General features: G+C 40.3%; 1 protein-coding gene across 4 annotated transcripts in view, besides 1 other annotated feature; it reads right to left on the bottom strand.

Annotated features, from left to right (window-relative positions):
- The window catches only part of CDK14 (cyclin dependent kinase 14), a 614270-nt gene that overhangs the window by 169827 nt on the left and 419838 nt on the right, over nt 1-24605 (bottom strand). The gene's annotated exons all lie outside the window — the stretch shown is intronic.
- Nucleotides 8524-9058: an enhancer, noted in NCBI's record as "OCT4-NANOG hESC enhancer chr7:90661021-90661555 (GRCh37/hg19 assembly coordinates)". NCBI's record gives its function as "activates a minimal SCP1, AML or CMV promoter by ChIP-STARR-seq in naive H9 embryonic stem cells {active_cell/tissue: H9 hESC(naive)}" and the evidence as "EXISTENCE:reporter gene assay evidence [ECO:0000049][PMID:30033119]".

The following is a 24605-nucleotide window of genomic DNA, read 5'->3' as shown; positions in this document are numbered from 1 at the left end:
CTGCTAACGGTTCTTCCTGGGTCAAGGGGACCGAGAGGTCTCTAACAAAGACTACAGCACAGAGGAATTCTGGCCTATGGGACACAAAACTGGCTCACACAAGTTGTGTCCTAATGAAATGATATGGGAAGCACCAGATTCCCACTTCAAGGCTTTAAGTTTTAGGGGCAGGACTACAGTGGCGATGTGGATTTTAAATGGACTCAGCTGTGGATTCTAAGGGACTTCAGAACAACCTAATAACTGATTATTTTTAAGCTGCAACTCTGAAAGTCCACACATATAACATCTCTAAAATAATGATTGCTTCACAGCTGTACTACTTTCGGATCTGGAAGATTTTTTTCTAGCTCCTTAGTGAGAAGTCCTAAAAGAAACCTGTGAAGTGGCTCAGCAGAACTCAGCTGCAATATTATACACCCTGCTCTGGAACAGATGGTATGAAGTTCCCAGAAGAGCCAGAGAGAGAAAGCAGAACCGCCTAATTCTGATCCTGACTGTGCACTCTCCACCTGGAAAAACGATAATCAGGTGGAAATGCAGAGGAGCCACCTGGAGCTTGCACTGCCCCCGACAGTACAACGAATGTGCTGCAGACAGGGCAGGTGGAAGGCGAGGAGAAAGGTTTCAGGATCCAGTGGCCTCATGGGTGATGGTGAGAAGGAATTGTTTTATTTTTCGAGATAGGATTTCATTCTGTTGTCCAGGCTGAACAGTGGTGTGACCATGGCTCACTGCAGCCTCAATCTCCCAGGCTCAAGTGATCCTCCCATCTCAGCCTCTCGAGTAGCTGGGATGACAGGCACACTCCACCCTATTCTACTAAATTTTTTATTTTTTATAGAGATGGGGTCCCACTGTGTTGCCCAGGTTTGTACTCCTGGGCTCAAGTGATCCACCTGCCTCAGTCTCCCAAAGTTCTAGGACTACGGGTGTGAGCCACCGCACCCGGCCAAGAAGGAAATTTTTTAAGAGGAGGGTACAGTGATAGAAAAAGCAGAGGTTGAAAGGATGGAGTATATTAAGGGGAAGGGGAAAGATGCAAGTAAGAGGAAATTATAAGAGTGGCCAAGGACAGATGGAAATGACCAAAGAGAGCAAATTTTGGCATGGAAATCTTAAAAAATGCCAATTGCATACTTGAATCAAATATTCATTTTCTCTATGTAGATAACTTCTAGAGTAGGCAAAGGATATCCCTAAAAAATAAACAAACAAATAAACTAGTAACAGCAGTGGTCTCTGGAAAGGGGAATGGGTGGCTGGAAATCAGAGGTGGAGGGGACCCACGTTTTTCACTGGCCATCCTTATGTATCTTTTTCATTTTATACTATATACATGTTGTTCAACTGTTAATTATGTTTTCCCATCCATGTAATAAACAGAAATGTACTGAGTGATGACAACATGACCACCCCTTTCCTATGTGTAGAAGATAAACGATTTTTTTAAAAAGTGTCTGCCTTGGAGTTGCTCAGTCTGGAGAGAGAGACAAAGAGACAAGCATGTGAAACAGAAAGTCAGCATGACAAGGCTGCTCAATGAGGGGTGTAATGAGCGCGGTGGGGGCCCAGGAAAAGAGGTGAAGGGACAGCTTGAAGAAAATGAAGCCTTAAAACTGAGACTTCAAAAGTGACTGGGCGCTTGTCAAGCAAATGAGTAGGAGAAGGACACTCCAGACAGAAGAGAGTGTGTGTAAAGATACAGAGGTATGCATGTGTGTGTGCCAACTCTAAGTGATCTGGTGTTGTCTTCTGGGAACACCCCTGTATTAGTCCATTTTCATGCTGCTAATAAATACATACCCAAGACTGGAAAGAAAAAGAGGTTTAATGGACTTACAGTTCCACATGGCTGGGGAGGTCTCACAATCATGGCGGAAGGCAAGGAGGAGCAAGTAACATCTTATATGGATGGTGGCCGGCAAAGAGAGAGCTTGTGTAGGGAAACTCCCATTTTTTAAACCATCAGATGTCATGGGACTCATTCACTATTACGAGAAATATTACCCACCCCCATAATTCCATCACCTCCCACTGGGTTCCTCCCATGACACGTGGGAATTGTGGGAGTTACAATTCAAGATGAGATTTAGGTGTGGATACAAGGCCTTTACACGTGTATTTCCAAAGCCTGGACATCTGTGCCCATTCCACCTGATTAGTTCCTGATTCATTTTTCATCTCTGAGTTGAAACATCCTTTTCTCAGGACAAGCCCCTGCATATTGGGGCACAATCACCATAATATACCATTATAGCACTGTAGGCTTCTTAGTAAAAATTGTCACAGTTGAAACTTTACATTTATTTCTGTGAAAATTTGATAAACGTCTATTTCTTTCATTGGACTCTAAGTGTTAATAAGTAAAGAGGTCATGTCTTTTTTAAAATTTTTGTTTACTTTATATTCCTTTTATCAAAGTACATAAAGTAGGCACTCCTTACATATTTGTTTAATTAACTATATAGACCTGAAGGATCCTTGTAAATGACAAATTATCATGACTTCATTAAATAAAAAGTCATGTTAAACTAACCTTTTTAAAAAGTAGAAGAGAGTCGTCTTCAGTTTCAAGATTTCTGCTTTTCCTCCTACCTTACTCTACCTTCCTGGAGCAGAATGGTAATGCAAATTAAAATTCTTCTAGAAGCAGTCAGGCAGGTGACTGAGGGAGAGGGCTGGGGAGAAAGAAGGCAGGACTGAATGTGACAAGGCCCTGTCCACAGAGAGCAGCGACTGCTCAGCTTCTGCCAGAGGCTGCCATGCACAGTGCAGGACCCCAGTATTGCTGTAGCTTTCATTTCACTAAGGGAACTGGAGAATACCTGGATTTCCTGTGAAAGTACCTTAATCCTATGACCTAATTCAAATTTCTACAAAAAATTACTTAATTCAAATTTAAAACAAAAACTAAATAAGATGGGTCAAACAAAACTTGTCAACATCCTGAATTCAGAGAAGAGCGTCTGGGCAGTAACCTTTGCTCTTCCAGCATATGTCGATTTTAGCCAGGCATCAAGAAAATAAGCTATCCTTTATTGATATCATGTGTGCAATATCAGGTTTATAACCAGTTTACTGACAAACTGGTTGTTCAAGGTTGCACAGCTAGAAAGTGGGGCAGCTGGAATCCTGTATCAGGTTGGTGTGACTAGAGAGACCATGCTTTGAAGAGCTATACTATCTGCTTCTAGGAGAAGCTGGCTGAGAAATGTGGCTCAGATGTTGTTAAACAATTCATATCCACCTGACCACACCCTAGAAGGAGGTTTTGAGTATCAGAATGAGGTTTTTTTCATGCTCTCTCTCCCTCACATTCAACACACACATGCGCGCGCACACATACACATGCACATACATACGTGTATGTCTATAAGACATGTGATGCAGGTGTACATGTATATTCTGTATAATGTTAGGTATCATCCTCTTCAGGATTTTTATCAGTTACTTGAAGGAAGACAGAAGGGATGTCTTACATTTTTCAGATGACGTGAAATAGAAGGGATGTGTAGTATTCTGATGGCTGAACCAGGATTCAAAAATATTTAATAAGGCATGAACAACTGGCTGAACCTAACACCAGGAAAATGTGATAGCTATAAACATAAAGTCCAGTACTTAGATTCTATTAATTGATCGTTCAAGATGGGAACAGGTGGCATGCAGCAAGCTGCATAAAAAAAGACTTGTGGTTTTTAGCTGAATAAAAACTTCTATAAGATCACCTACTAGAAGTCAAAAGAGATTAGGAGGGTTGACTCTAAGCTCACCCCTGTGATTCCCACCTCCTGCTGTTCACAACCTTCGCCTTCAGTGTGGGTGGGAGCAGGAACTTCTAACCAACAGAATATGGCAAAAGTGATGAGATATCACTTCTGAGATTACAACTGGCCCTTGAACAATGCAGGGGTTGGGGCACCAACCCCATGCACAGTCAAAAATTCCCATAAAACTCTTGGCTCTCCCAAAACTTAACTACTAATAGCCTACTGTTGAACAGAAGTCTTACCAACTATATATATGTTATATTTATTATATACTATATCCTTACAATAAAGTAAGCTAGAAAAAAAGAATATTAGGAAAATCAAGAGGAAGAAAAATGTAGTTACTAATTATTAAGTGGAAGTGAAACATAAAGGTCTTCATCTTTATCTTCATGTTGAGTAGGCTGAGGAGGAGGAAGAGGGCTTGGTCCTGCTATCTCAAGGGGGGCAGATGTGGAAGACATGGAGGTGACAGAAGGGGAGGCAGGAGAGACAGGCACATTTGGTATAACTTTAATTGAAAAAAAATCCACATCTAAGTGGACTTGTGAATTCCAAAGTTGTGTTGTTCACAGGTCAACTGTATATTGTGTACAATGATAACAGCCATTGTGCTAGTGGACTTGCTCCCTTGCTGGCTTTGAGGAAGCAAGCAGCCACGTTGGGAAGGCCTGAAGGCAAGGAACTGGGGGTGGCTTCAGCCAACAGCCAGCAAGAACCTGAGTCCTTAGTTCCACAGCCTGCAAGAAACTGAGTGTTGCCAAGAACCACATGAGCTCCAGCCGACCCTCATGTCAGACTGCTGCCCCAGCTGATACCTTGATTACAGCCTTTTAAGACCATGAAGCAGCTGGGCGCAGTGGCTCACGCCTATAATCCCAGCACTTTGGGAGGCCGAGGCGGGTGGATCACGAGGTCAGGAGATCGAGACCATCCTGGCTAACAAGGTGAAACCCCGTCTCTACTAAAAATACAAAAAATTAGCCGGGTGCGGTGGCAGGCGCCTGTAGTCCCAGCTACTCGGGAGGCTGAGGCAGGAGAATGGCGTGAACCCGGGAAGCAGAGCTTGCAGTGAGCCGAGATTGCGCCACTGCAGTCCGCAGTCCGGCCTGGGCGACAGAGCGAGACTCCGTCTCAAAAAAAAAAAAAAAAAAAAAGACCATGAAGCAGAGGGCCTAGCTAAGTCATGCCAGGAATCCCAACCCACAGAAACTGAGAGATGATAAATGTGCCTTAGTCACTACATTTTTGTTAATGTTATGCAGCAATAAACAATTCATACAGATGTAATCATTTAATCATATGATATACTAGTCAGAACACATCTGGATTGCTGTGCCAGTACCAGATGCTACATGTGACAAGGGACAAAAATAAACGGTCCTCTGTGGAGTGTATTCAGAAAGGTTGGGGGTGGGGGGAGGGGTGTGCCCCATGTCCCATTGGGCTGACTGGAAATGCTGTTGAGAAAAAAATGTTTTGGGATATCGCTTTGAATAGATTAAGTGCTACATTGTGAATGGGAGACTGACTTATGCGGAGCCACATGACAACAAGGACCAATGGGGTAAAGATATTGATATACAGCAAAGAAGGGCATTCTAACGATAAAAGCTGTGTAAAATGGAATCAGCACCTTTATGAGGTTTAGGCAGAATTAAGGTTGCATTTTGCATTCAGACAAAATAAGGATCAAATTCTGCCTCCATAGACACAGTGCACTAGTTTAATCCTGAGGTAATATACAACAGAGTCTGGGTGACAAGATGAGGTCACACAGATGCCCATATATTTACTTTTGTTTTTATGTGGCTGCAATTACAGCTTAGAGGGTAGACAGGGAGAAGTGGGTTGATAAGGAAGGGTATAATTAGATGAAGGAGGGCAGAGAAGTTAGTCATGAAAGCTTTCCTTCCCCACTTTCTACAGTGTCAATGCTAATTATTTTGCAGGGAACCAGCACAATCACATGGCTAACAGAATATTTTTCTGGTAGCCAGATAAGCTATCAATGTGTGTGTGTGTGTGTGTGTGTGTGTGTGTGTATGTGTATGTGTGTGTGTGTGTACACAGGTGTGAGTTTATCTATTTACATATATATAGTTCCTTTCTTCCATCATTCCCTAGGCCTTACCTAAACTACCACTAGGTAAGAGATTAGAGTATTCTGAATGTTCATTTTTGGCAGTAACATACAGGCTTGATGTGGGATTAGAAAATCTTCCTTAAAATACTATGATTCTGGGTTGTGTTTTGCGGAGCAGCAGAATCTGTAGTGAGGTTCTGTAGAGAAGTGAACTCTACCTGGTAAAGACAGCAGGGGGAGCCACTGGACTGAGAAAATGAAAAGCTGCCAGGGCTTCAGAAAGCAGCTTCAATATTTAATCAGCTGCTTGGCTGCAGGTGATGGATTGAAGGAGAGGGTGTTTCCAAAATATTATGTAGAGTTTTCAACATTGCAAAGGTTTATATAGGAAGCAACACACACACAGAAAAACAGCTCTTAGGGGTTTTTAAAAAATGAGTTCAATTCACCTGCTAGAAGGTTACTGTCTCATTTAGTGGTGCTTGGCTGGACACAGGAATCATCTAAGGAATATTTTAAAATACTGATTAAAAAAAAAGAAAAAGAAAAAAGTGCGAATGACTGTGACCTATCCCCTAAATTCCTATTTAACTGGTCCAAGGTGCAGCAAGATATGCAGAATTTTCTAAACCTCCTCAGTGATTCTAACATCAGCCCGGTTGGGACCACTGTCTGGCCCAATTTAACTAGACAGTCTCTCAGAGGCTGCAGCACTTAGTTATACAGTTCAGAGATTTTTTTAAAAAAAGTTTTCAGCCTGTATACAGAAGGTCACAAAAGATTGGTGGATGAATGAACACAACAAGCAGGTGGCTGCTAAAGAAAGTCGAGGATAACAAATAAATAAATCTAAAATTACTCCAGAAAATGCTCTTAGTGCCTGGAAAATTCTGCAGTGAAAGTAGCACATTTCAAATGTTTTTCCCCAACTAAATTTTCATGCTTTTCCCTCTCCCTGTTCTCCTACTGTTTTTATATTCCCTGTCTCTCTAAACCCTGATTCCCTTATGGATTTCACTCTCATCTCAACAACTTTTCTCTCTTTTCAGACTGAGTGATGTTATTGTGACACAGCTTCAGACTCAGTCCCCAACTGTGCACTGTGGGAGCCACAGCAGTGGAAATGTACGTGCACGTGCAGCAGCCCAAGGGTGGAAGCTGCAGAGGCTGGAGGGAGGTGATGTTGCCAAGCAAATGCAGCAGAACCAGCCTGACTGCCTGAAACTGTGCCTCAAAATAGGGAAAAACAGGGAGAAACCTGTAAGCAGGAGCACTAGATGCTACAGCCCTGCTGCTCAAAGTGTGGTCCATGAACTAGCAGCATCACCACCACCTGCAGAAGCTCAGGTCCCACTCCCTGCTGAATCAGAATCTACAGCTCATGAAGAACCCCAGGTGGTTTACAAGCATACTGAAGTTTGAGAAGTACTGCTTTAAAAGATGCATTCTAATTGGACTTTTCGACCTAAAAAGCACGAATAGAGGAGAGGAAGTTATGGTCACAGGTCCACCTTCATCTGGAGTGCCTATGTAAGATTATTCTTTAAAATAGCATTTGTAAAGGAAGGGTTGAGGGCAATTTCAAGTTCTGTGGTGTCAGGAGCTACCACTGATGATAAAGACTGCATGGAAAACTGGCTTGGCACTCTGCAAGTCACAGCTCACCTCTAGGCACCTGCTCTTCTACCTTTAACAGCCTTATAGATTAGGTAGCTCCAAGAGGTTTTGAATCATTTCTGGAAGCTGGCAGGACATAATAATAAAAATGCTCAATTCATCCACGATGCTTTTACTTCAGCTGCAAACTTGAGGCCAATGAAAATCCTCACGCGTATGTCAAAATGATACATAGGCATGCCCAAATTGCTCACCATCTTGTTGTTCTGTAATGTGTGCTGATTGTCAACCTTTACCCTGAAAAATGTAGTGCTTTAAAATTTTAATTTAAATATTCATTTCAGTTACATCAAAATTAAATACGACAAAGTTATTGAATTGATTCAGAACACTTCAAAAGCTTGACATCCTCAATTGTGTTTTAGAAAATTATATTATCTTCAAAAATATGTTAATATGAATGTATTGATTTCCCGTGACTGCTGTAACAACACAAACTTGGTGGCTTAAAACGAGAAATGTGCTCTCTCACAGTTCTGGAGCCTGAAGCCAAACTTGTTTTCAATGGGCTGAAACTAAGATGTTAGTAGGGCCTTGTCCCCTCTGGGGGGTTTAGGGGAGAAGCAGTTTCTTGCCTCCTCCAGCTTCTGGTGGGTGCTGGCATTACTTGGCTTGTGGATGCATCACTCCAATTTCTGCCTCCCTCTTCACACTGCTTTCTCTTCTGTGTCAAATCTCCTTCTGCCTCTCTTTTATAAGAACATCAATGACTGAACTTATGGCTTACCTGGATACTCAACGATAATTACCCCATTTCACGACCCTCAACTTAATCCCACCTGCAAAGACCCATTTTTCCAAATAAGGTTGGATTATAGGTTCCAGGTGTAAGGACTTACTATCTTTGGGTATCCATTATTTAACCTACTACAGAGTAAAATTACCATTTACAAGATATTATTTGTAAATGATACTCAACAAGGATAGTTTATACATATAAGGTATATGAAGTAAACAGAAAAATCTGGGGAAATATGTCTAGTTACAGGAATAACAACTTCTCATAAGCTGGTTTACTATTTGCAATTTTACACCTATTATTTTATGAGTGTGCATCAACCCAACGAAATAGGACATAATAATGAAAGCTAAGAGGGGACCCTGCCTAGGTGCCCTGGAAGAGAAGAACAGAACCAGGATGCAACCTGGATGTATGACCCTTTATGAGGTGCCCTTCCCCCTGCTGTCTGGTAAAAGACTACTAATAGGACTGTTAATTCATCTCGATTGACTCACAAAGAGAGGCTTATGTATGCAAGGCCGGCAAAGACTGACAGACGGAAGGTGAGTGCTCAACTGGGTGACCTCACTAGCTAAATGACTCCTTTTCTCCCAGCAGGTGCTGCTGTGCTTCTGCTGACCTACTGGACATACTTTGTTTGGTTTCAAAGTCAAGGAGCGACATTCCCATATGGATATTTCCTATGAAAACCAAGTTTGTGATTTATTCTTATTTCATCCTGGAAAATGTAACAGTGTTTATCCTTAACTAAGGAGAAAAGAACATGTTTGTTATTTTTTTCTTGCTTTGAACCTGATGCAGGGAATTTTATTTTAATTAACTTAATAAGGACCCATGAACTCACTACGTCATTTAACAACAATCCACATCTAATCGTTTGGCTAAGGCCCCATGCAATCTCCTGACCTCCCCCAAGTGAAGTAAGCTCCATCCTGAATCATGTTCATTATTCTCTACATTTCTTTTTTAGGTAACTTTGTTGTCCTTATAACAATTATAAAATAATATTAATTATTTTAAATTTTACATACAAGATATAATGCTGTATCTAATATTTTGGGATTTTTTTTTCACTTAACATTACATTGCTAAGATTCGTCCAAACTCCTGTATGACGATTATCGAAAGGGAATATTATTCATCTGCTTGCCTACTGATGAGCATTTGCATTGTTTATGGGTTTCTGCTCATGATACAGAAAGGAAAATCACATCATGCAAAAATAGCAAGTAAAGCCTAGCAGCAATCATCTTATTGTCCCTTTACCACTATAAAATTCCACAGTGCAAAAACAAAATATTGGCACCTAAAATGGAGTTGTGTTCCAACAGATTCAGAGCTGTTTGAGACTCACAATATATTTCCCCGAAGAAACAATTCTCTACATGGTGGTTAGTCCACTGGCTGATGCACAGAAGGCTGCTTAATTCATAATAAACCAAAAAGGACGACAGAGCCAAACCATTCTGGTACAACAGCCTTCCTGATGAAAATGCACCCACCAGGGAAATCACAGCACTCCTATAGAAGCAGACCAGGCAGCAGGACAAGGCTCCTGTTTTCTTTTCCTGAAGTCTCACCTAGCCTTAGCCAGAGGCAGCAACTCCAGCCAAGGGAGGGAACAGGCTGGCCTGAGGCTTCTAGGCCCAGGGAGATACTGGGAGGGAGACTCTGAGGCCAAGAACTGAAAGGGAACGGTGACTTAGAAGAAGTGACAAGAACTCTAGTGGAAGGAGTGAGGGATGGTCAAAAAGTGAATAGTTTCCTCTGCATTTTTAGCACTGGTCAGTGGGGATCAACAGCAAGGTGGGGTCAGGAGGCAGCCGCAGGGTGCCTCTACCAGGTGACAGGCTTGCATTTTCTTTCTCTTCTTCACAGTCTTACCTCCTCTTTCACAGGGGCACCTACTTGCACTTAGGATGGGGCATTTGAGAGGCAGAATATGGGGCTCTTGGAAGAGGTGGAGAATACTGAAAGGAGGTGCCACCTCCTCTGTGTTTTTGTGTCTGCAGTGGTTGGGAGGGAGAGCAGGATGGAGCCTCTGGGTGCTATGCCCACAGTAACTATTGCTCTCTAAGGACTGGTCCTATATTGGGAATATGTAGGTCAGAGCCTGTATACTGAAAGAAAATGCATACATTTACCTGTTCTAAAAAAAGACGCTGCTATTTTTAGGGCTTTGAATGAGGTATGCAGGAATGTGTGAGTTACAACTAAACCTCTGGTAAGTTTAACGTTAGGAAATCTATTTAAAAATTTGGGTCAAAATAGTTCTATAAAAATGTACTACATTTGCAATATTTTGTTATAGTTTTTGCAACTGTATATATAGCATTTAGATATATACAATTAAAATTTTAATATGTGTATACTATTACATATGTATCCATTTATTTTCAAAAGTTATTGAGAGCTTATTTTTGCCTAGGAAAAGCTAGGATACAAGTATGGAAAAATATAGGTCCTGATAAAGGGTGATCCTCATCATACTCTCTGGGGCCACAAGGCCCTACAAGCCTACTTCTGGTTAAGAACAGACTGCCCTGGAAATCCTAGCCAGAGCAATCAGGCAAGAGAAAGAAATAAAGGGCATTCAAATTAGAAAAGAGGAAGTCAAACTATGTTTTTTTGTCAATGATATGGTCTTGTACCTTGAAAACTCTAAAGACTTTTTGAAAAGATTCCTAGATTTGATAAATGAATTCAGTTACAAAATCAAAGTCTCAGGTTACAAAAATCAATGTACACAAATCAGTAGCACTGCTACACACCAATAATGACCAAGCTGAAAATCAAATCAAGAACTCACTCCCATTTATAATAGCTGCAGGAAACAGAAGGGGAAGGGGAGAGGGGAGAGGAGAGTGGGGAGCGGAGGAGAGGAGAGGAGAGGAGAGGAGAGGAGAGGAGAGAGAAGGAAGCCCATTCAGGAACACACTTAACCAAGGAGATGAAAATTTTCTACAGGGAGAACTATAAAACACCGATTAAAAAAAAAAACAGAAATGATACAAACAAATGAAAACCATTCCATGCTCATGGACTGAAAGCATCAATATTGTGAAAATGACCACACTGCCCAAAGCAATCCATAGAGTCAATGCAATTCCTATCAAATGATCAATATCATTTTTCATAGAATTAGAAAAAATAATCCTACAATTCATATGAAACCAAAAAAGACGGAAATAGTCAAACCAATCCTAAGAGAAAAAGGACCAAAGCTGGAGGCACCACATTATCTGACTTCAAATTATACAACAAGGTCATAGTAACCAAAAGTATAAAAGTGGAAAATTTAGAGCCATATTCAGAGGAACAAAACTGGACCCCTATCTATCACCATATACAAAAGTCAATTCAAGATGAATTAAAGACTTGAATGTAAATGTAAGACCAGAAACCATAAAAATTCTCTAAGAAAGCTTAGGAAAAACTCTTCTGGACATTGGCCTAGGCAAAGAATTTATGACTAAGACCCTAAAAGCAAATGTGACAAAAATAAAAATAAATAAATGAGACTTAATTAAACTAAAAATCTTCTGCATAGCAACAATAATAATATTAATAATCAATAGAATTAAAGAGACAACCTACGGAATGGGAGAAAATAGTCATAAACTATACATCCAACAAAGGACTAATATCCAGAATCTGTAAGAAACTCCAACAAGACAGCCAGCAAAAAACAAAAACAAAAACAAAAACAAATAATCCCATTAAAAGTGGACAAACAACATGAATAGACATTTCTCAAAAGAAGATATGCAAATGACCAACAAACATATGAAAAAATGCTCAACATAAGTAATCATCAGGGAAATGCAAATTAAAACCCAATGATATATACTACTTTATCCCAGTGAAAATGGCCATTTTAAAAAAGTCAAAAAATAGGTGTTGGCGTGAATGGGGTGAAAAGGGAACACTTATACACTGTTAGTGGGAATGCAAATTTGTAAAATCTCTATGGAATACAGTATAGAGATTTCTTAAGGAACTAAAAGTACATCTACCATTCGATCCAGTAATTCTACTAGTAGGTAGCTACCCAAAGGAAAATAAATCATATAAAAAAGATACCTGCACTCCCACATTAATTGTAGGACTATGCAATATGCAATATATGGAAAAATACAGAATCAACCTAAGTGCTCAACAGATGAGCAGAAAAAGAAAATGTGGGGGGTGTGTGTGTGTGTATGTGTGTTTGTGTGTGTGTGTCTGTCGTGGAATACTGAGCCATACAAAGAATAAAATAATGTCTTGCAGTGCAGCAACTTGGATGGAACTGGAGGCCATTATCCTAAGAGCAGTAACTCAGGAACAGAAAACCAAATACCACATGTTCTCATTTATAAGTGGGAGCTAAGCTATAGGTATGCAAAAGCATAAGAATGGTATAATGGACACTGGAGACTCAGAAGCAGGAAGGATGAGAGAGGGTTGAGGGATAAAAAAAAATCACCTATTGGATACACTGCACACTATTCGGGTGACAGGGGAGAGGGGAAAGGGGAGAAGGGAGCGGAGGGGAGTGGAGCGGAGGGGAGCGGAGGGGAGGGGAGGGGAGGGCAGGGGAGGGGAGAGGAGAGGAGAGGAGAGGGGAGGGGAGGGGAGGGGAGGGGAGGGGAGAGGGGAGGGGAGGGGAGGGGAGAGGAGAGGAGAGGAGAGGGAAGGGGAGGGGAGGGGAGGGGAGGGGAGGGGAGGGGAGGGGAGAGGAGAGGCCCAGATTTCACCACTAAAGCCCAGACTTCACCACTATACAATTTATCCATGTAACCAAAAACCACTTGTACCCCTAAAGCTATTGAAAAACAACAACAGCAACAAAAAAAGAATCAGCTCCCATTCCCCATCCAATGCTCTTTTGGCAACTGACATACAATAGTACAGACTTTCACCTACAAATGGGCTACTTATTCCTAAAAGCTTGTGGGTCAAGAATCAGTATTTGGAATCCCAATACTAAAACGTGGTATGCATAATCTAAAATTAGTAAATTACATAGAGTTGAAAATGAGGCATCTTCCGAGGAAGTATGGCTGCCAAGCAAGTCCTGAAACTTTGGGGCACTCCTAACAACACTGGCACACGACGAGAGTGGATGTCTGCAGTTCTCTGGATGACACTGAGATATGGGGTAATTGTCAGTATTACAATCAGTTGGTTGCAACTCTCAGTTGCTGTTAGTTTTGGTTCAAATTGTAAACTGATGTTAATTTAGCTTCCTCAGCACCAGCTTAGATTGTTGTGAGTTACCTGGTTAACTACATGTTATACTTTAATGTATTTCTACATCAGTCATATATTTGGCCCATTATTTTCCAGTATCTAGAAATTATAACAGTTACGTATTGTGGGTTATACATGAATCAGCTAAGAGACTAATGCTGAAGTAGATATACATCTAATTCTTCCCCACCCTTTAATCAGTGGTTTTTGAACACTGATACTGTTATCTCCACAGTTACGCAGGAAAGGGTAGCAGTAGGCAGCCTAAGAGATCTTTTGCCTAAGTGTACCAAGGAAACAAAGAGGGGAACATGTTCTAGAGGAGCTCCAGCAAGAAACACATGACGTTTTAATTTATCCAGCATCATGATAGTTTAGACAGAGAATTTATAATGGTCATAATAGTTTGGGCAGGGAATTTATAATGGTCAGAGGAGTTAGGAGGAGGGGGCCTCACCATATATGACTATGAAATGTGATATAATGAACAATAAACCCTAAGTGGGAAGCACTGATTTACGCAGACATATATAAATGGTGTGTGAAACAGATTGCATAACTTGCCGAAGGTCACGCAGCTAATGGTGACTGGTGAGGGAGGGGAGAGACGATGGTCTCTGGACTCTAGTGATCTTCCCTTAAGATTATATTAGAAAATTAATTTAAACACATATGTTGACCTTTGATGGAGAATTTTACCCTCATATGAAAGACAGAATGAAGATCAAAGATACTCTAACACATCAGAGGTTGGGCTAACAGTGAGTATCTCTTCCTATTTTCCATCTTACTTCTATAAGACTATCCTGTCTTGTGATTACTTTAAGAGTTGTTTTCACTCTGGATTATCAACACATCACAAAACATTGCCAAGATGGTTTATTGTTTTCAGTAAAGGATAAAGTTTCCCAAAAGTTAGGAATCTAGACAGTAGACACGGCATGGCCTCCTTACACAGCTGAAATTGTCAGCAGTTGCTCTTCCTCTGATCTCTCAAGAAGGCAGCTCTCCTCATTGTCTCTCCGCTGTGCCTCTGTTCTACTCTTCCTCTGATCTCTCAAGAAGGCAGCTCTTCTCATTGTCTCCCCACTATGCCTCTATTCTGCTGACAGGTTACAGGGAGAAAGGACAGCCTTAGAAGACTGCCTGTCAACAAAGAGGAGCAAAGGGACAGCCCAACCAAGGTGCAAAGTCTTCTAATGATTATGTTCACTAAAAAAAAAAAGGTAACTTAGTCCTCTAAAATATGTCACCTAGATTTTTAATTTTCAGCCAATTTTGTCTGGCTCTTTCTTATCAATAAAATAGGCTTACAGCACAACAGGTTGAGGAAAAGACATTGACAGTGAGTGGGCATTTTTGAAAGATAAAATATTAGGACTGGCAACAATGCAACTCCTGCCTGAGACCTGGGGACTCATTCTTTTAGAATATACAAAATTAAACTGAAAAAGGAAGAAAACCTTCACTGCTACTCTTTTTTTCCCATACTGCTCTAGAGACAGGCACAGGCAGTGCACAGGCAGTTGCCTCAGATTCTCACTTTCAAAAGATCATCCTCAATAATGTAGCATTTCCAGGCTACACTGTAATGCCCAAACAGAGCCACTTGTGTCTTTCTTTCTCCTGCTAGCTTTGTCAGAAGAAGGCAGCAACCATATGATCAAGGCCACCTATAATACATTAAAGTACCACACTTGAGTCCAAGAACAATCAACATCATTTTCATCACTTTCTCATTCCATGAACCATGCTTACATTAATGTCATTTCATGAGATTTAAGTCATAAAACTCACTGTTCTTTACTAAATTACTCACTGAGTAGGCCTTAAACTACCTCCTGCTTGAATGGAATAGCTAGGTTTCCCCAAGATGCCTTTTAATATGTACACTTCTTTGGACAATCTTTGGACAATCCCTTGGCAGAAACCCTTCTCTACCTTAACAGGCTCATCTGTGGCTGATTTTAGACTTAGGAGGTCAGAAGAACAAAGTGCCAGGTACAACCGCAGTATAGTGCAAAGCAATCCAGTTTTGTTATGGTGCATTCATAATATAAAACAGAATTTGAATCTTTTATTAATGTATGCCATGAAAAGCTGTTACTAGATTAGAAACAAACACTTCAAAATTACACAGACCCTCCCACTTCTTAACAAGGCCTCCTTCATTTCAGTTGATGCCTGTGTCTCAAAGCAGTTGAGCAAACACCAAAAGACTTATATCCTTGATTCCTAAATTACTTCAAAATTATTCAACAGTATTTGCATTTGAGAACTGGCTGGATCGCATTTGGAGTAAGGGAATCAATCACTAGCAGAAAACTATTAGTGGGGTATAAGGAGTGTTCATGGGAGTAGCTCTGAAGAGGGTAAATAATCACATCACATACTAAAGACAACCTATCAAATAGACTTAGCTGAACTAATTAGCTATACTGCTCAGTGGTTAAGAGAAAGTCTACCAGACCTAGGTTTGGGTCCAGGTCTGCCACTTACTTACCAGTCACATGATCATGGAAAGGCACTACGATTAGAGTGCGGCTGCCGAAATCAATCTATCTGCATTCAAGTCCCAACTTGTTTAGTTATTTATTTTTGAGACAGAGTCTCACTCTATAACCCAGGCTGGAGTGCAGTGGCACAATCTCGGCTCACTGCCACCTCTGCCTCCCAGGTTCAAGTGATTCTCCTGCCTCAGCCTCCTGAGTAGCTGGGACTACAGGCGTGTGCCACAACACCCAGCTAAGTTTTGTATTTTGGTAGAGATGGGGTTTCTCTATGTTGGCCAGGCTGGTCTTGAACTCCTGGCCTCGATGATATGCCTGCCTTAGCCTTCCAAAGTGCTGGGATTACAGGCATGAGCCACTGTGCCCAGCATCCAACTTAAATATTTTGAACCCAGTAATTTAAACTCTTTTATTCTAGTTAGTTAACTTCCCCGTGAGTCAGTTTCCTCTTTGATAAAACAGGTATAACAAAGACTACCTACCTCACTGGATTCTTGGTAAAAAGATTAAATAAGGTAATACATGAAAAGTACTAAAAATACCATTATAACATATAGTGGCACTCAGTAAATATCAGCTGACATCATTATCATCATCATCATCATCATCATCATCATCATCATCATCATTTTGGATGGGTTGCTTAGCTTCTTTAAGATACGCTTTCTGGCTGGGTATGATGGCTCATGCCTGTAATCCCAGCACTTTGGGAGGCCGAGGTGGGCAGATCATTTGAGGTCAGGAGTTCAAGACCAGCCTGGCCAACATGGTGAAACCCCGTCTCCACTAAAAATACAAAAATTTGCCAGACATGTTGGCGTGCACCTATAATCCCAGCTACTTGGGAGGCTGAGGCAGGAGAATTGCCTGAACCCAGGAGGCGGAGGTTGCCGTGAGCTAAGATCGAGCCATTGCACTCTGCACTTCAGCCTGGGTGACAGGTGAGACTCCATCTCAAAAATAAAATGAAACAAAACAAAACAACAAAACAAAAAACCACTTTCCTTTTATGGAATATGGGATAATGATAACACCTGTTTCCCAACATTGTGAGAGTTCATGAAATAATGCATAAAAATGCTTAGCATAGTACTTTGTCCCCTAATGACAACAATAGTAGTGGTAATAATTAAAATAATTTGTCTATCTATTCCCTATAATTGAACTCCTCAGAAATCTTTACATTTAGTGAGTATTTAGCAACTCTGAGAAGTCTAGTGTCTGAGCCAAATGGTATTTAAAAATTCTTAGTAATCTATTCTGTAGAATCATTATATCAACTTATAATCCCATTAAGAGTATTGAGAAGTACTTATTTCATCTTGTCAACAGTAGAAATTGTCTCTTTGAAAAATCTTCCGAGTGATAACATATCATAGAAGACATGAAAATCAAGAACACCACCATCCCATCACCAACAAAAACCAAACTTAGGGTTTATGGTACTAGGATACAGAAAACACATTTACAGAGCAGCAGGAACAGTAATGCATTTATTATGAAAAACAGTAAATTGTGTACTGATTAATGGACAAGTCTTGACATGAACATCATGTTCCACTGTGGAATAAGGTAGTGCTATAATATGAAAAATACATCATCATGGTGGACATTCTCAGTAGCATGAGGAAATCAAGAAACACCAAGTTTCACATGTTCCCAACAAAAAAATAGTTGTTAGTACTTTCAAAGGATTCAGTTGTTTCATTAGACGAAAAAAAAAAAATATATACTTCAAAGGCTTGAAATATTGAAGCCCAAAGAGTTTTTTCTTCTAGCCATACGGCATCAGTCTTTAAAGAGACCATAGTGAGAAGCTCCAGAGGCTGAGGGAATAAGTTAAAAGGACATAGCTTCCTAGTGGGCAGGAAATAATTCTTCTTACATGCAGCATATCAGCTCAGAAAGATCTAATGAGCTTTTAAACAATACAATGGAAACAAACTAAAGCAGATTCATTCTGGTCATTTTCTTGTCATCTTGAACACAAATGAAAAAAAAAGCTGCTAATAAAAATGTAATACACAGCTGCATGTATTATAAGTATATGCCCATAACTGCATTTACATGAAATTCAGTGCAATCTCTGGAGATCTCCTGTAGCCTTAACAATGGTAACGTGTTTGCCTTTAAAAGGGAGAACATTTTGCTGGAGTAATGGCATAAGATAAATATTTTTTACTATTACTCTTTGGTACTGTATTGTTTGGATTTATTAAAATCATGCACATTTCCCTTACTTAAAAAATGCATGAGAAATAAGCAAGTAAATAAATACGTAAAATATACTGAAGATATTTGACAATTTCTGTAGGCATTTTTGGAGAAGAATGCCACTGGCATTTAGTTGATAGAAACCAGGGCTGCTGTTAAATATCCTACAACGCACAGGACCAGCTCAAAAGGTCAATAGTGAGAAACTATTGTCAGTAGCTGAGAAACCCTACTCTAAATGATGAGCCTTTACGAAGAGAACATAAAGACACAGAGTATGAATTATACAACTACTGAAGCTGCCTCTTGGCTCCTCACTGCCCCAGACAGAATATATCACCCAAAGAGACAGGGAATGGAAGTGATTCTACACACAGTCCCTCAGCCTCTGGCACTTTCCTGCCTGGTGGAGGAGGAACAGCTTTCACCAGCAGCTCTCAGCACAGGTAGCCATAACAGCAAGACTGGACCCATCCTGTTTCCTCAGCCATCTTGGAGAGATGACTGTCAGGCCCCCTCTTTGTGGGCTTCTGTGGGTCTAAGAGGGCATTTAGGGGCTGAACTGTCCTAGTTATTCATGTTTAAAAATATTTGGTTAAAATCTACTCACACTTTCATATACTAAACATAGCACTGGCACCTATATTCAAACTGTTATATTACAATCCAATGGCATCATTCAACAGTATATTTAAGAGTCACAGGCTTCAATTAATTTAGGAGGGAGTATGGTGACCAATGAAAGTTTCTTACAAAGAAATATTTACTTGGAGGAATTCAGGCCCCCAAAGGGATCCCTTGACAAGGTGTTCCACAAAATTTCAAATCAGGAAGAACTTATGGAGGGTCCACTGATGGCAAAATAAAAGAGGAATGAATCTTGCTTCTTTGTAATGCAAAATCTATTTAGGTTAATTTCAACATGTCTCTATATTATGCTTTTTCTATCTCTCTAGTCAGTAGATTTCTTGTACTTGTTCATTTTTGTATCACAGTGTGTGGCAACAAAACCATAATGTTGGAGCTGGAAGGGATCTTAAAAATCATCTCACAAAATCCTCACATTTTGTAGATAATAAAAACAGCTATCATATATAGAAATTTCTATGCAGCAGGCATTGTCCTAAGTGCTTTACTTCTAACTAATAATTCTTTAATCCTCAAAGCCATCCTATCAGGTAGATATTATTACTACTCCCATTTTACTGAGGAGAAAACTGGGACACAGAGGTTAAGTCCCATGTTGTGAAGACAGAACTCTAAGATGAGCATCCATTAGTCATGCCCTTGTACAAACCCCTCCCACTGAATGCAGGCAGAAACTGTGATGTTGCTTCTAGTTGATAGTATATGGCAATGGTGATGGCAGAGTCACTCCCATGATTGCATTATGTTATATAAGGCACTGTCATAGGAGACTTAGTAGACTAGAGAGAGAAAATCTTTTACTGGCTTTGAAGGAGCAAGTTGCCGTGCTGTATGAGAAAGCCTTCTAGGGAATCATGTGGCAAGAAACTACGGCACTTCCAGGAGCTGAGAACAGCCTGTAGCTGACAGTGAGAAATTAGGGACATCAGTTCTATGGTCATAAGAGATTGAATTCTACCAACAACTGCATGAGATTGAAAGAGGATTCCAAGTTCTAGAAAGGAAAGCAGTCCAGCCAACACCCACGCTGTAGCCTTGTAAGATCCTGATTCCAGGACTTGGCTAAGCTATGCCTGGCACCTGACCCATAGAAACTGTGACAAAATAAAGGTATGTTGCTTTAAGCCACTAAGTTTGTGGTAATTTGTCATGCAACCATGGAAAAATAATAGGCATGTCCAAGATTGCAAAACTATTAAAAGGAAGAACAGGGATTCAAATCCCAGTGGTCAGGCTCCACTATTCATCCCCTCAAACACAAGCACCAAACTGTTAACAGTGGCAAGCTCTAGGGCAGGGAAAGGTGAATTATTTCGCTTGTCTTAATTTTTCCTTATCGCATTTTCACTCTCTGACATATTATATACTCATGCATGCATGTACACACACATTATTTACTGTCTATCTCTCTGACTGGAATATGTGATCCATGTGAGCAAGGGTTTTTATTTTGTTCAATGCTGTATTCTCATTACCTAGGACAATGCCTGGCATTGAGTAGGTGGTAAAAATATTGGTTGCATGCACGAATGAATGTAATCATTGAGAATCTGAGGCTTGGAGACTGCTCAAAGTCCCTTGATGGTTAATGGTAAAGCTAGATGTGGTCAGTTTATTACTGATCTTGATTCTTTAACCATTCCCATAACTAAACCCTCTGCCATAGGACTTTGCAATCCCTCCATGGAGGTTTGACTTGATTGGTCAATGGAATGGGGCTGGAAGTAAAAGGGGGCAGTTACAAGCATATGACTTAGGAGGCAGCACAGGTTTCCATTGGCCCTTCTTATCTTTCTACCATGACCAGAGAAGAGCATGCCCTGATTAGCCTGCTGGTCCAAGGGGGATGAAAAATATGTGGAGCAACTCTGGACCTAACCTGTAGTTGATGGCTGAGCTTGAGTCAGCCAACCTTGATCAATCCATGAGCATTTGAGCAAAAATAAACAATTGCTCTAAGCCGCTGAATTCTTAAGTGGTTTGTTATGCAGCATGGTCATGGAATAGGAAGAGTTCTTTGGATTTCTGTTCTGCCAGAGGCCTTATTAGCATGGTATTTCACAGCAATGGCATTCTGGGGGAAGAAAGCCCTAAGCAGTAAAGAAAGGTATAATTAATCCTTTAGTAGTCCCTTTGTTGGTCATAGGATGCTTTGTAATCACTATGCTAAAAGCAGCTTTTAGGATTTATGATATCAAATATCATAATTTTGATAAAATAACAAAACCAATGCATAAATATGTACTTCTGAAATTAAGGCATTACAAAAAAATATATTATACAGGTTTAAAGGGAGAATAGAGGTGTGAATTGGAGCCAGAAGTTCAATAGCCAAGAAAGCCCAAGTCAATATAGAGCTGACAATGGTTAATCATCTACTTTCAAGATCTAAAAAGACTAAAAAGATTTTGAATTTTTGTAGCCTGGAGTCTCTGGCTATACTTTAAAATCATGTATTATTGTTCATAATTCAGTCAAAATTGAAAACAGATCAAAGCTAGATCTATTTGGTGTAATTTTCCCTGGGTAAGGATGCAGTAGGAGTGCTAAAGCTTAACGTTACAGACATGAAAGAAGTAGTCCCAGGAAGCCATTAGTTGAATGGAGCTGTCCATTCACAGGAGCAAGCCAGTCTACCAGGGATGATGGGGATGATGAAGAGAAAGCCAGCTCAGGACAGTGGCTGCTGCATCTCTGCCAACAAGAACAGCAAATTCTTCTTATTTATTGGAGTTTACTATATGCCAGGCTCTGTCTGCTAAAAACTCTCTTTCTATGTATTATCTTCAATCATCACAATGATCCTAATAAGTTAGGCACTTCCTGTGGTCTGAATGTTTATGTCCCCCCAGAATTCACAGGCTAAAACCTAATCCCCAATGTGATGGTATTAGGAGATTTGGCCTTTGAGAGGCGATTAAGCCATGAAGGTGGAGTCCTCAGGAATGGGATTAATGTCTGTATTAGTCCATTCTCACACTGCTATAAAGAAATACCTGAAACTGGGTAATTTATAAAGAGGTTTAATTGGCTCACTGTTCCACAGGCTGTACAGGAAACATGGCTGGGGAGACCTCAGAAAATTCACAATCATGGAGGAACATGAAGGGGAAGCAGGCACGTTTTACGTGACTAGAGCAGGAGGAAGAGACAGAGAAGGGCGAGGTGCTGCACACTTTTAAACAACCAGATTTTGGGAGAATTCACTCACTATCATGCAAACATCAAGGGGGAAATCCACCCATGATCCAATCACCTCCTGCCAGGCCCCTCCTCTCACACTGGGGATTACAATTCGACATGAGATTTGGGTGGGGACACACAGCCAAACCATATCAATGCCCTTGTAAGGAGTTGAGGAGATAGAGTTTTCCCCTTCTACCATGTGTAGACTCTGCAAGAAGATATTTTTTATTTATTAATTTTTTTGTGTGAGAAAGAGGGCCCTCATCAGATACCAAATATGCCAGGGCCTTCCCAGCCTCCAGAACTATGAGAAGTAAGTTTCCATTGTTTATAATTTACCCAGCTTATGGTATTTTGTTATGGCAACTCAAAGAGACTAAGACAGTTCTCTTATGTTCATGATACAGACAAGGGTCAGGAAGTGAAGTTCATTGTATGAGGACAAACAGCTAGTAAATGGAAGAGGAAGAAGAAGAATGGGGAGCTCACACCCAAAGGCCTAGGTTCTTTCTACAAGATCACACTGCTCCTCAGGCTTTAGAACAAAGATGGCTTCCTTTCCTTCCTGTTTCTTTTGCTTCCTTTGTACTGAAGATTTCAAATTTATCCAGTATGTATGTACTTGCCATTTACGTCATCAGTTATAAATTCACTCAGAAATACCACTGTCCCCCATGCCTCTTTTAGGAAACATGGTCACATTTATATGTCTGCTGTTTGCCAGCACAACCTCTGTCTGATGCACAGTAGATCTAATTTGGTTTCATCCAATCCCCGAAATTGGATGAAGCTGGTTTGCAGCCCATTTTTAGTTATGAAAATAATCTGGAAGGCTGGCTAGCATTTGTACCCTAGTGGCCCTGTAATTCAAAAGGGCTTGTTATCTCTGTGCACAGATTCACCTACTCAGAGAACAAAAGCAATATCAGAACACACTGGTGTTAGCCCTTCCTAAAAGAGTTATGTGAAGGCAGAGCCCTTCCAGACGCTGTGATACTCATCCATCATATAGCAGTGCCCATTTATTCTGTCTATGTCAAACACAAACACCTATCGACCATCTGAAGTAATCAATAATAGCAATACACAGACCAAAAGTCCATCATTCAGGCAGCACCACCAAGCACCTACTGCTGAGCCTAAAGTGTATATGAAAGCTGACCTGGAGATACCTTGTTTTAAAAGAGTTCATCTCTCTAAAAGCATTTTAAACTCCAACTTTAAAAATTATTAGGAAAATATCACATATGAAAAACAAAATAACAATTAACAATATTTGAGAGTATTTAATAAAAAGTGAGTCTGTTAGCATAGGCCCAGTCCTGAGCCCTGTAAGAAACCACCAGCTAGAAATCCTCCCTGCATGCCCTGGATATTGTATCATGTCCATCTGTTTAGCCACTTTCTCTTCCTTCCTCTAATGTGAACTTAGACCTAGTTTGTACTTAGCTTTTTTCCTTTATATATCTTAAAGAGCTTCTTCTATTGGAGAAAACAGTGGGGAATAAATTCTTAAGTCAATCACTCTTAAAAAGTGAAATATATCTCACTAAGAAGTATTAACTTCATAGAAAATAGACCTGTGTACTTAAATTATTTTTGCTCATTACAAATACATTCCAGCAGATAAAGTGAAGAAAGGAAACACCACTGGGGGCTCAAGAACAGTCAAAAAAGAGCCCCATAGGAATTTTGCCTGCCTTCTTCCTTAATATCATTTTGTTGCTTATTTCCCTTTCTTCTTTTTCTTAATAGGAAAAATAGGCCCAATGAAGTTTTTGGGAGGCTTTCGCAAAGGTCCCTTCTAGGTCATCTTCTGTGCCTTCACTGGTGTATGCGAAGTTACTATAGACAATGCTTTGTTTAGTTTTGTTTGAAAGTTTGGCTTATGAAAAAATATCACTCCTATTCCTCTAATAGAATCTAGGTTCCGAAACCTTAAAACATGCTATAGATGATGAATATAAAAACTACCTAGCATACATAGTAGCAGTGGATTTGCCACAGCAAGGTCAGAGATAAATATGTTATTCAAATTTCAAACGCACCCTACAATTCTGCTTAAGACCTGAACTGCAAAGCTCTCAAGAAGTACTCCCTCAACATCTGAAATAATTGAAAACCAGGTTGGGTGGGCTGAGGAGGGGTAGTTAAAATGCATAACTCACTTTCAAAAGAGGTTGATAGTCTAGCTGGAGCCATATGGTACCATAAAACAGGGTATAATCTAAATTTAAGTATCTATCTAGTTCATTGTACCACCTAGGATAATGGCTTGATGGCTTTTCATCAATATATGAGAGCATGTTTAGGACCGTCTAAATTGAGGAATACAAAATTCAGTCTGTGATTCCTGAAAGGCCACAAAAAATCATGGTAAAATGAGAGGCGTGTGTAAAGGGTGATTGGTAGAAACAAACATGTTAGAGTACTATGTTTTGTCAGCAGAGAAAACACATTGGTTTTCAAATATTCTCAAATCAAAATTCATAATGGAAGAAGTGCTAACCTACAGGCATTGTTCTGAAGGTAGA

This window comes from Homo sapiens, chromosome 7, assembly GCF_000001405.40.
Source record: "Homo sapiens chromosome 7, GRCh38.p14 Primary Assembly".
NCBI classification, from domain to species: domain Eukaryota; kingdom Metazoa; phylum Chordata; class Mammalia; order Primates; family Hominidae; genus Homo; species Homo sapiens.
This window is presented reverse-complemented; position numbering and strand designations above follow the sequence as displayed.